The sequence below is a fragment of the Homo sapiens genome, chromosome 3 (assembly GCF_000001405.40).
Source record: "Homo sapiens chromosome 3, GRCh38.p14 Primary Assembly".
Taxonomy (NCBI): domain Eukaryota; kingdom Metazoa; phylum Chordata; class Mammalia; order Primates; family Hominidae; genus Homo; species Homo sapiens.
The window spans coordinates 138,689,543-138,703,083 of record NC_000003.12 but is presented as its reverse complement, the minus strand read 5'-3'; the positions used below and the strand labels follow the sequence as shown (position 1 = coordinate 138,703,083).

Here is a 13,541-nt window from a genome sequence, read left to right as displayed (position 1 = left end):
TTCCTCTCTCTGTCTTTTTTCCCAAAGTTTTGTGTTATTCAGGTTTCTGGAGACAGTTTCAGATAATAATTTAATTTGTAAACATTGTGCAAATTTTAATAGCTTAAATTATATATATGGCCTGAAAAAAATTTGCATGATCAATTGATGAGGCTGGTGTGATAGGATCCTTGTGTTTGACTGCTTTTTCTTGCTGAGGATGTAGACTTGAGAATGGCCTGGAATCTCTAAGAAGTAAGAGTTTATTGAAAAAGTAAAACAGTAAAATAAAAGTGGAAGCAATCTCAGAGACTAGTGTAAAAAAATGTGTGTTTGTGTATAAATTTAAAAAATAAAAGAAAAACTTTAAAAAGAGACAACTGCAAGAGCAGTTACCTTTAATGATACAAAACAAATTTCTTACAGGTGTTAATTTATCAGCTTATTAGGCAATTACTGAAACAGATAATTACAGTTTAAGCTTAGGAGATATAGTTACACAGGCAGGTCTTGGTTCAAGTGCCTGTCTCATTACCCTTTATAAGACAATATTGCTCCTTGAACCTCAGATAAATGAATTAGTTTTTACTATTTCCACCATAAACTTGTACCTGACCTAAATCAGAGAGTTTGCTACACACTGAGCATGCAGTAATCTTGCCCAGGTCTGATATACCTTTACAATTTGTTTGTTTTTTATTAGGCACAAAGTACAATTAATAAATGGTAAGGATGGGTGTGATGGCTCACCCCTATAATCGCAGCACTTTGAGAGGCCAAGGTAGGAGGATTGCTTGAACCCAGGAATTTGAGAGCAGCCTGGGCCATACAGAGAGACCCCATCTCTACAAAAAAAAAAAAAAGTATTAACTGGGCGTGGTGGCATGGACCTGTAGTCCCAGCTACTTGGGAGGCTGAGGTGGGAGGATAGCTTGAGCCTGGGAAGTTGAGGCTGTTATGACAGAGTAAGACCCTGTATCTTTAAAAAAAAAAAAAAAAATTGTAAACCAAAAATGAAAGTTTCTCTCTGTGACTCCCACCTACCTTCCTCTCCAGAGCTAATTGTAAACAGTTTAATTTGTAGCTATCAATCCTAACTTTATATGTAAATATCTCCCCCTTTAAAATAAATGAGATCTATATATACATATATAAAACTATATATATATATAGTTTCTACTTTTTTCATTTAATATACTTTGTGGATATTGTCATGTGAGTATGAATAGGTCTACTTTTTAAAAAATACCTTTCTAACATTCCATAGCATTAATTACTAGTATCTATTAGATTTTTCTTTTTCTTTTTTTTTTTTTTTTTGAGACAGAGTCTCACTCTGTTGTCAGGCTGGAGTGCAGTGGCATGATCTCAGCTCACTGCAGTCTCTGCCACCCCGGGTTCAAGCGATTCCCCTGCCTCAGCCTCCCAAGTAGCTGGGACTACAGGCATGCGCCACCATGCCCAGCTAATTTTTTGTATTTTAGTAGAGATGGGGTTTCACCATGTTGGCCAGGATGGTCTCGATCTCTTGACCCCGTGATCTGCCCGTCTCGGCCTCCCAAAGTGCTGGGATTACAGGCGTCAGCCACCACGCCCGGCCACATCATGTCCTTTTACCCCTTAATTCTTCAGTATTTCCTTTAAAAAATGGCATTTTTATACATAACCTGAGTAGATTCATGAAGGTCAGGAAAATAATACTGATTCAGTTCTATATAATCTACAGATTTTATTCAAATTTAGCCAGTTTTCTCAGTCATGTGCTTTATAAGTCTTGGATCCAATCTCTGGTTACTTGCTGCATTTCATTGTCAGGTATATTTAGCTTCCTTCAGTCCGAAACAGTTCTTCAGTGTTTTTTTGTTTGTTTGTTTTTTGTTTTTTTTTTTTTAATCTTTAATGACTGACATTTCTGAAGACTATAGGCCAATTATTTTATAGAATATCCCTCAGTTTGGATTTGCCTGATGTTTTGTCATGTTTAGGATCCCAGTTATGCATTTTTAGTGTGAATATCAAAGAAGTAAAGGTGTAGTTTTCTTACTGCATTTTATCAGGAGGCAATATCGGCTTTTACCACTACTCTGGAAGTTAACTGTTATCCCTTGGTTAGTACGGTGTCTGCTAGGTTTTTCTAGTATAAAGTTAATAAATAAAGGTTTTGTGGGGGCGTATTTTGACACTAAGTAAACATTCTATTTCAGATCAAGCTGTCACCCACTTCTTTTTGCATTCACTAATACATCTTCCTTGAATCAGTGTTACTGCAGTGGGTTGCCAATTTTAAATCTTGCTTTTCGTTTTGGATTTATTAGTTGGCTTATAACATAGGTTAGAGGCTTTTCTTCTACTCTATCTCTATCTATCTATCTATCTATCTATCTATCTATCTATCTATCTATCTATCTATCTTTTTAGAGTCAGGGTCTTGCTCTGTTGCCCGGGCTGGAGTGCAATGGTACAGTCATAGCTCACTGCAGCCTTGAACTCCTCTTCTCCCCCATTCATCTCTTTTTTCTTTCTTCTTTTTTTTAACTTATAGGAGATGGATTTGTGATTTCCATTTATTCGATGATTTGTAATTAGTTACTGTCATTTATCTTAATGTTTAATTTATCCCAGATCTGGCTCATGGGAGCCCATTTAAGCTGTCTCTTGTCTCTTTTTGCTTTGTCCCTATCATTCTTTGAGCATTTCTTTCTTTCCGATACAACAGCGTATTCCACACTCATCTAGTACTTTCCCTACCCCAGCCTTGGAATCAGGCATTTCTCCGGAGAGTTTCATTTTTTATATTCAGTTTATTCCTTTTATTTGTGAAAAGTATGTAGGGATGGATGGATGGATGGATGGACGGACGGATAAACAAACGGATGGAATGGATTGACAGTGTCTCGCTTTGTTGCCCAGACTGGAGTGCAGTGACACGATCATGGCTCACTGCAGCCTCAACCTCCTGAGCTCAAGTGATCCTCCCACCTCAGCCTCCTGAGTAGCTAGAACTGCAAGCACATGCCACTATACCTAGCTATTTAAAAATTTTTTTTTAATTTCTATTTTTTTTAGTAGAATTAGGGGTCTCACTTTGTTGCCCAGGCTGTTCTTGAACTCCGGGGCTCAAGCAGTCTTCCTGCCTTAGCCTCACAAAGTGCTGGGATTACAGGCGTGAGCCACCATACCTGGCCTGTGTAAGATCTAGGCCCTGGATATGCTCATTGCCCCTGGGTATAAAGTAAGTAAGTGCTCCTTGGAGAATGCAGGGGTGCAGTTGCTTCCAGGCCCTTTTGTGAAACAGAGCTAGACAGTATATATTTGTTTACCTCCATATGTTTGGGAAAATAAACATACACAGAGATATATTTATTTATCCATCTATTAAAGACCATGAGTTCTCATCAATACCTCTAATATGGATCCATTCCCACTGTATATTTTCTAGTCTTTGTCTTTTCATATTTGTAATTCCCTTTTCTAATGATGAGAAATCTGGATTTCTGTTAACTTTGGTGTATTTACTTATTTGCTCAATCCCCTGTTTGTAATCAGTCTTCTAGTCTTATAACTGTCTTCTTAGTCTCCACCTCATTATCCTTTTTTTTTTGTATTTTGTATTTTTTGTAAAGACGGGTTTTCACCACGTTGCCCAGGCTAGTCTCAAACTCCTGACCTCAGGCAGTCCACCCACCCACATTGGCCTCCCAAAGTGTTGGGATTACAGGCGTGAGCCACCTTGCCTGGCCTGACTTGGATTTTTATCCAAAAAGCAATACTGCCACCCAGTGTTTGCACAGTTTACATTTTTAGATTTTTAGAAACTGTTTTAAGAATCTCTTCATCCTTAGCTTAGAAATTATTAAAGGATCTACCTTTTTTTTTTTTTTATGGAATTATATTTTTGTATCTCACATACTTAGGTTCATTTATTATATATAAATATATATAAATTTACTGAAAGTTCGCTGTGGTGTTTGCACAATTAAATTCTATAATGAGCATTTTACTTTTTTAGAGTCGAGGTGGAAAAAAGTTTCTTCCTGTATTGAAAGAAATCTTGGACAGGGATCCCTTGTCTCAACTGTGTGAAAATGAAATGGATCTTATTTGGACTTTGCGACAAGACTGCCGAGAGATTTTCCCACAATCACTGCCAAAATTACTGCTGTCAATCAAGTGGAATAAACTTGAGGATGTTGCTCAGGTAACAAAAGATCGTTTCTATAACTTTTTTTGGGTGTATGGTACTTGGTTGGATTCACATAAAGTATCCTTTTCTCATAGGTATATTTTCATAGATAGGATAATTTAAGCAGGAGAAATTTTGAGGTTTTAAACTCTTATACTCCAAGTAATGGACCAGAACATTTCCAGAATTTAAAAATCTCAGATTTTGGGTAGGATTGCCATACCTTTCACCAAATACAATTGAAACATTGATCTTGGGACAATTATCTATCAAAAGTACCACTTTCTAAGACGTGGGTACCTTCTACCAGCTTCATCAGTGAACTCCAGAGTTTTAAATCTTTTAGACTCTTTGCAATGACTGTTCTAGAATGAATGTCCATTGTTTGAAAATTACATCTATTACAGAGAATAATATTTTAGATAATATATCATTCAGGTCAATTTTAACATTCATTTCAGTTGTCCAGTATTGCTGAATGTATGCGTTTTGACAGAATAGAAAAAAGACCATTTTGCTTCAGAAACCCACCAAATTTTAGTTCCCTGATTTAATTTTCAAGACCCTGCCAAAAAGCACTGGCATTTATTCAATTCAAACAACCCACCAGTGCTCAATAGAAAGACCTTTGAAATGGGTTTTTTAATCAGAACAAATAAATTTGGTCTACTAAAATAACCAAATTTTTTCATGTTACTTATTTCAGTTCAATGAATCTCTCTAGTATGTAGTCTTAGTAAATCTATAGTGACTAAAAATTTAGTGAAGAAATACAGATTTATCTTAATTATATGCATTTTAAAAATCTTTGGATTTATTGTTTCACTTCTCAATTTAAGAGTAGAAAGGATTTCTTTTGTGTTTACTTTTAGTGTCTAAAGATCTTTGGAGCCAGGCATGGTAGCACACACCTCTAATCCCAGCACTTTGGGAGGCCAAGGCAGGTGGATCGCTTGAGCTCAGGAGTTCCAGACCAGCCTGGGCAACATGGTGAAACCCCATCTCTACAAAAAATACAAACATTAGCTGGACATGCTGGCATGTGCCTGTAGTCCTAGCTACTTGAGTGGCTGAAATGGGAGAATTGTTGGAATCTGGGAGGTTGAGGCTGCAGTGAACCAAATGCCATTGCACTCTACCCTGGGCAATAGAGTGAGACCTTGTCTCAAAAAAATAAAATGGCTGGGGTCTGTGGCTCATGTCTGTAATCCCAGCACTTTGGGAGGCTGAGGTGGGCAGATCAGGAGGTTGAGACCAGCTCAGCAATTTAAGACCAGCCTGGGCAACATGGCAAAACCTTGTCTCTACAACAAATACAAAAATTAACCAGACATGGTGGTGCACGCCTGTTCCAGCTACTCGGGAGGTTGGGACAGGAGGATCATTCGAGCCCGGGAGGCTGAGGTTGCAGTGAGCCAAGATTGTGCCATTGTATTCTAGCCTGGGTGACAGAGGGAGACCCTGTCTCAAATAAATAAATAAATAAATAAATAAATAAATCTTTGGAGACATGTTATATAATTATATTATTGTGTGTACCTCGATTAAACTTGTTTCCACCTTAGACCAAATTAGACTGAAAAGGAACTATTTTATTTTAATTGCTGTAGAATAGTTATTGTCTTCTAGCCACTGATGTATTATCTAAATTCAGGATTCGTTTTCCATGAACCTTCAGTAATGGAAAACAAGATCTAAGCATTTTTTTAGTTGACACATTTGCCTGTTTCTTTTGGATAGTGTCTAGTGCTGAGTACATATCTAAGAAATGCATCATATTATTTCATTAGAATCACAATGGAAAGAATTTCTTGCTGTACTCTTAAAAGCTGTCTTATAGAGAGGTTTGGTGAGTTTTGGCAATTTATTTAATTTTACACTTACATGATTTAATTTTTAATAATTATAAATAATCTTACCAAAGTCATTACTTTCCAATGGTAGAGTTGTTTTTAACCACAACATTGTTGAACCTCTAGTATTACATAATCTTATCTCTCCTTTTCAGTGTTATTTATGGGCAGTGTATTCCAAGTATTAACTGGAGATATGAGGAGTTTTTTTTATTACTGCTATTTCAAAACCCAGGAAATGGTCTCTTCCCAACTCTTCTGCTCATAAAGAAGACTGCTGGTCCATTAGGGCCTTTGGCAAAGCAGGGAGGGGGGATCTATTAGTGAGAAAAATTGGGGATGAGGTTGGTGCTTTATGTCTTTATATCAGTATTTCTCAACCTGTTTTCATCACTATACCTTTAGGAGCTTTTATAGACCCTTTTCCCCCCAATAACCCATGAGATTTTGATTCCGTAGATACATGGTACATCTTTTCATGTACGTATTTGTATCTGTGCTTTATACATAAAAAAAGAGCTAGCCTTATTCAATATAGGGTTAAGAATAGCTAAGTAAAACTTAAGTTTAAAGTTAAAATTTAGGCTGGGTATGGTGGCTCAAGCCTGTAATCCCAGCACTTTGGGAAGCAGAGGCAGGAGGATCACTTGAGTCTAGGAATTTGAGACCAGCAACATAGCGAGACCCTATCTCTACAAGAATAAATAAATGAAATAAAATTAGCTGGGCATGGTGGCGTGTTCCTGTAGTCCTAGCTACTCAGGAGGCTGAGTTGGGAGGATTGCTTGTACCCAGGAGTTCAAGGCTGCAGTGAGGTACGATAGTGCCACTGCACTCCAGGCTGGACAACAGAATGAGACCCTATCTCTTACAAAAAAAAAAAAAAAGGTTAAAATTTAAAAATTACTAGGCATTCCACTGTATTTGCTAAGTAACTATGTAATTTATTCACGTAGGTGAATTCTAATGTGTCAAATTACATATATAAGTTAACAATTTATGCTGAGTGCAGTGGCTCATGCCTGTAATCCCAGAACTTTGGGGCCAAGGTGGGTGGATCACCTGACGTCAGGAGTTCAAGACCAGCCTGGCCAACATGGTGAAACCCCATCTCAAAAAAAAAAAAAAAAAAAAAAATACAAAAAATTAGCTGGGCATAGTGGCAGGCACCTGTAATCCCAGCTACTCGGGAGGCTGAGGCAGGAGAATCTGGGAGGAGGCTTGAATCCAGGAAGGAGAGGTTGTAGTGAGCCAAGATTGCACTATTGTACTCCATCCTGGGCAACAAGAGTGAAACTGTCTCAGAAAAAAGTTAACAATTTATATAAATATATGCTAATAATAGAGTAATTAAATTTTAAAAAATCATTCAAAAGTATTGTTTTCGCAAAAATATTTTTCAAATGTAAAACAACTGAAAAAATTAAGCTAATTTTTAAAAAATTAGTTAACTTTTATTTACTTTTGCTTGATATGAGAAAATGCCTTTTAACTTAGCTGGTAGATACTCATTTAGATATTGTTGACTTTTGGGGGAGGGCTTGCCATAATTATAGATTGAATAACTTGTAGAATTAAATAATAAAATATAAACGGTTTTTATTGAATTCTCAAAGCTTAATTGGTCGGAGAATAAAACTTAACATCCACAAGATAGCCAACAAGCTTGCAGGCCACCTCTCCCAGTATGACTTTGAGCAATCAATTGAAAGAAAATCCTCTAACCACTGCCATCTATTTGCCATAGTTTTACAGCAGTGATCTTGCATACATATCATATACCTTCCATGACGTTGATGTCAGTGGTACTTAGGTGATACCCAGGAAAATCCAATGAGAGAAATTAAATACTAAGGAATAAGATTTTATCAGATGGAATTGAGCTTTAGAAAGGCTACAAATTCAACATTTTTTTCTCTCTCACCCATAAAATTTATTTGGGGGTAAGTACTTCATAGCTTTTCAGACTTAATCTATAGAATGTTTCAACAACAAAGACAATCTTTATTAGTCTCTATTAACAGGAATGGATTTTTGAGGCATCAATAATTAAAAGTGAGCTTTGCCTTCTTTTGACCTATCTTGGTGCTCCTGTGTGTCAAGGAAAATTAGATTACTTTTGTCCCCCATTATTTCTGAACCAGTTTCATTTTTTAAACAGCTTCAGGCGCTGCTTCAGATTTGGCCTAAACTGCCCCCCCGGGAGGCCCTAGAGCTTCTGGATTTCAACTATCCAGACCAGTACGTTCGAGAATATGCTGTAGGCTGCCTGCGACAGATGAGGTATCTTCTGCAGGTGGTTTTCTTTGGGGCAAGGAATAACTTGGGTGGGTTTGGGATGAGGGTGTCTCCTTGATGTCTCATAAGAAAGAAAAGGGCTCAGAATTATTCACAGTTCAAAGCATTTGCTCATGTACTCCTGCCAGCTCCCCAACTCAATGTTTATACTAGAAAAAAAAAACCAAAAGCATGCTAGGTCAGAAGGTCCTCAAGATCACCCTCAGGTTTGATGACTCACTGGGAGGACTCAGAACTCAGCACATAGTCACTTACAGATATAATTTATTGCAGCAAAAGGATACAGAGCAAAATTTAAAGAGGGAAAAAGGTTCATGGGGTGAAGTCATGAGGAAAACAGGCATACATAAGCTTGTAAGAGTTCTTTTCCAGTGAAGTCACCCCAAACACTTTTATTTCTATCAGGAGTGAGTTGTGATAATACAAGTCTGCAAGGGAAGCTTGTTAGAGACTTCGTGGCCACGGTTTTTACGGGCAGCTATCACATAAGCACCCTCTGCCTAGCATGTACCAGATTTCTATACTCCCAGCAGTAAAGTGGATATACAACATAAACCATTATTTGCACAAATAGTTTAGGTGCAGTGAGCCACTCTTATCAATTAGGGAGGGTGGTGGGAATCCTGAAATCTTAATTCCCAGATGCTAGCCATGGGCCAATCCTATAAGCAGGCTTGTTAGAGGATAGCAGCCAAGCCTGCTGTGTTACCTCTTTTCTTCACACAGTCTATCCACCCTCCAGAATTAAGAAATGTTAATTTTTGTCATGGGTTTAAAATATATATATATATATATATATATATAATATATATATATATATATATATATATATATTTTAAGCAAATACATTACAGTTAAAGTTGAAGTCCTCATAGTTTCCTTATCCAGTCTTGATTACTTCTCTTCCTTCTCAGAGGCAAACATTATCATGAATTTGGTGTGTATGCTTCTATATCACATTTTTCTGTTTCATATATATCTATGAAAATATAGACATGGAATTATTATTACACAAATGTGTCTTGCCATATGCATTAGTTTATATCATGCTTTTTAAAAATTTGGCCAGATGGCTGGGTGTGGTGGCTTATGCCTGTAATCCCTGCACTTTGGGAGGCTGAGGCAGGCAGATCACTTGAGGTCAGGAGTTTGAGACCAGCCTGGCCAACATGGTGAAACCCCATCTCTACTAAAAATACAAAAAATTAGCCAGGCGTGGTGGCCGGTGCCTGTAATCTCAGCTACTCAGGAGGCTGAGGCAGAAGAATCACTTGAACCCAGGAGGCAGAGGTTGCAGTGGGCAGAGATCGTACCACTGCACTCCAGCCTGGTTGACAGAGCGAGACTCCGTCTCCAAAAAAAAATAATAATAATTCAGCCAGCTGTGGTGGCTCACACCTATAATCCCATCACTTTGGGAGACAAACGCAGGCAGATCGATGAGCCCAGGAGTTTGAGACCAGCCTTGGCAACATGGTTAAGCCCCGTCTCTACCAAAAATACAGAGACATTAGCTGGGCGTGGAGGTGCGCACCTGTGGTCCCAGCTACTTGGGCGGCTGAGGTAGGAGGATCACTTGAGCCCTGGAGGCGGAGGTTGCAGGAGCTGAGATGGTGCCACTACACTCCAGCCTGGGTGACAGAGTGAGACCCTGTCTCAAAAAATAAAATACAAATACATAAATAAATAAAAATTCAACATCAGGTTTTTGAGGTTAGTCTCTCCCATTATGTTTAAATGTCATTTATTCCTTTCACTACTGTGTAATATTCTGTCATAGGGATATATCTTATTTAATTCATTCCCTATTAAGGAATATTTAAGTTTCTCCACATTTCCCTATTATAAATAATGCTTCAGTGAACATGTTTGTACAGTCTCCCTTGGATGGTGCATTTGTGAGAATCTATGAGATTCACTGAAGAAATGACTGTCTCAGACAATGAAGTTTATCCATTTTCTTTCTAGGTTCAAAAGTGAGGCTTATGTACTTTATGGTTTTTGAAACATAAAAGCCCACAAAATAGTGTGGATACTATGATCCTTTTTTCTTTTTAAAATCGTGTATGTTTTAAGCTGTGTAATAGCCAAAAGTAATTACACAGACTCACCAATAGTGCTTACTTCTGGGGAGTGAAATTAGAAATGTGAGAGAAGAGGAAACAGCTTCCTATTCCTATACTTTCTATTTTTTACACTATTTATAGGTTATATAGTGGGCATGAATTTTACAATAAACCTAATCAAAATTGTGTTATAGATAGTTTTAAAAAATGAATTCCCAGTTGCTTCACCATCTGCTTAAGTTTGCATTGGAGACCTGTTGTGGAGGGGCCACCTGGTTCTCCTTGGGCTGAGCCAAGTGTTTTTCTTAAACGCATTGATCCCTCTGAGGAGATGGCAGTGATCCGTGTATTCCGTGTAGCTAATTCTGGTGGTTTTTCTATTGTGAAATTTCTGGTTATGAGTTTTTGGTTTTGGTATATAGTGCCCTGGGTTTCAGTCCCAGATATCTGCCTTAGACTACTAATTCCTTAACCATTTATTACCCAATACTGTGGAGAGTAAGTGGAGCACTTGGGGCACTTGGGCTTCATACCTTATACTGCTGGAGTTGCCTCTGATAGGAGTGTGTTTACAGGTAGAATGGTTTGGAGATTGACACAAAATAGAGAACCACTAACCTTAATTAATTGAGCTCAGTTAATTACAATGTTATCTGTTATATTATTTCAATGATCAATTCCCACTTATAAATGTATTCACTTTCTCATCCTTCAAACTATTTGAAGTTAAGATTTTAATTGTACATTGGTTATCTGGGACAACTTAACCCTAATAACAGCAAAGGAAAATAAATTGTGAAAGTACTGATGGAATTTTTATTTTAAAAATGATTGTTTTACTAAGCACAAATTTTTTAGCATGATCAGAAATCAGTATTAAAGTACCTAATATTTTTGGTAACTCTTAGCTGACTGAAAATACAGTCATGAATTTTAACAATCTGTAGTAGTCCATTTTCACACCATTATAAAGAATTACCTGAGACTGGGTAATTTATAAAGGAAAGATGTTTAATTGACTCACAGTTCCACATGGCTAGGGAGGCCTCACAAAACTTAAAATTATGGTAGAAGGCGAAGGAGAAGCAAGTACCATCTTCACAAGGTGGCAGGAAAAGGGAAAGAGCAGGGGAAACCACCTCTTATGAAGCCATCAGATCTCATGAGAACTCACTCACTGTCATGAGACTAGCATGGAGGGCCACATTGATTCAGTCACCTCCCACCAGGATGCTCCTTTGACATGTGGGAATTATAGGGATTATAATTTGAGGTGAGATTTGAGTAGGGACAAAAGCCAGACCATATCACAATCTAATTCATTTGATTAAAATATCTCTAGTATCTGTTCTTTGACCCTCTTGACTCCCTTTTCCCCATCTGAAATCTTCAGCTTTTTTTGTGATATTGTAACAGTGGTACAGTGAAGGAAAGCATGTAACAAGCCTGGCCCAAAAGAACCATTGTGTTTCAACAAGTTCACATTTGATAGTTTGATACCAAGGGATCTTTTTCTGGCACAGGTTGTTTGGTTACTCACTGTGTCTTTTGTTTCTTTCAGTGATGAAGAACTTTCTCAATATCTTTTACAACTGGTGCAAGTGTTAAAATATGAGCCTTTTCTTGATTGTGCCCTCTCTAGATTCCTATTAGAAAGAGCACTTGGTAATCGGAGGATAGGGCAGTTTCTATTTTGGCATCTTAGGTAAGTCTTTTATATTTTACTTTGAGCCCACCAGGTGCTTTAGTAACTATAAACAAGCATAATATATTTAATAGAAAAATAGCTGCTTTAGTTTTTTTCTGAACCGTTTATAACATTTATATGGTTTTGGTGCCTTCTCCTGTTTCTTGATACCAGCACTCTTGATTTTTATGATTTGAGATTTGACAAAGTAATTCAGTTATCCAAGACCCTTATGTGTCCCTCCATGCCTGCTTGATTTCTTCATTTCTTCCTTCCTTTCTTTTTTTTTTTTTTGTGTGTGTTTTCTACCTGCTTGATTTTTAACTGAAATTAATAATGTATTGCTATTTTCCAGTAAAGTGTACTTATTGTCTTAATATATTTGGGCTCAATGCAGACCTATTTATTTCATCTAGAAAGTTGTGGGTGGTACTGTCATTACTAGTGTTATTGAGTGAAGGTAAAGGTATACTATAATGACAGCAATTTTATTCAATTTCTTTATTAAGTAGGTAATTTCCAGAAATACACGAACCTTACTTCACCAAGTTCATATAAGAGTAAAATCAGGAATGAGAACTAAAGTTATTCCTTTGTTTTCTAAGGAAATTGTATTAATAGATTTCTCATTTCTGACTCTGTACTCAGACATTTTTTTTCCCTCCCAATCTGGACTTCATAGTGCTGAAACTAATGCTTGTCAGAAAAAAAAACTACCTTTTTTCTTTCTTTCTCTCTTTCTCCTTCCTTCCTTTTCTTTTCTTTTTCTTCTTTTCTTCTTTTTTCTTTTCTTTGCTGAGCTTCTCAAAGGCAATAAGCTCTATAATGTTGTGCTCTTAATTTTAGTTTTATTTCTGAATATGGTTTTCTTATTCATATATTTTTTTCCACTCTTTTTTTTACTTTCTTGTGTTGTTCTAGAACCTTTTCTTATTTTTAACTTGTCTTTTCTCATTCATTCAGTCTTAGTTTTTAAACCTCTCAGGGAATAACAAAATAAGTATTCCTTCCTTTTTCAAATATGTACATCACTTTTTAAGTAAGAAAAAAATTGGAATAGATGCTAATCAGGGCATTAGTCAATTGTTTAATACCAGTCAGATTTCATAGATACCTGTTTCAGCCTATTGTCTTTAAATTGGTAAGATTGCCTTACCCGTACAAAAGCAAATCAGGTAAGATGTACACATTTTAGACTTCTTGGAATAAAGAATTAACTAATTATAGAATATCATAGCTTTTGAACTTTGAAGTATTAACTAACTATAGAATATCATAGCTTTTGAACTTTGAAGTATTAACTAATTATAGAATATCATAGCTTTTGAACTTTGAAGTATTAACTAATTATAGAATATCATAGCTTTTGAACTTTGAAGTTTAACAAATTGGAAAGTTGACCCATGTCACTAATAATTATGCACAAAGTAGCCAGGCGTGGTGGCTCATGCCTGTTCCCAGCACTTTGGGAGGCC

The 13,541-nt window shown here is 36.8% G+C and overlaps 1 protein-coding gene across 14 annotated transcripts in view; it reads left to right on the top strand.

Moving 5' to 3' along the window:
• Window positions 1–13,541, top strand: part of PIK3CB (phosphatidylinositol-4,5-bisphosphate 3-kinase catalytic subunit beta) — a 182,231-nt gene that overhangs the window by 131,845 nt on the left and 36,845 nt on the right. For all 14 annotated transcript variants that reach the window (NM_001437290.1, NM_001437286.1, NM_001437289.1 and 11 more), the window contains 3 exons: window positions 3,989–4,177; window positions 8,177–8,298; window positions 11,941–12,084. In NM_001437290.1, the coding sequence (NP_001424219.1) occupies window positions 3,989–4,177; window positions 8,177–8,298; window positions 11,941–12,084 (455 nt within the window). The remainder of the gene's footprint in view (window positions 1–3,988; window positions 4,178–8,176; window positions 8,299–11,940; window positions 12,085–13,541) is intronic.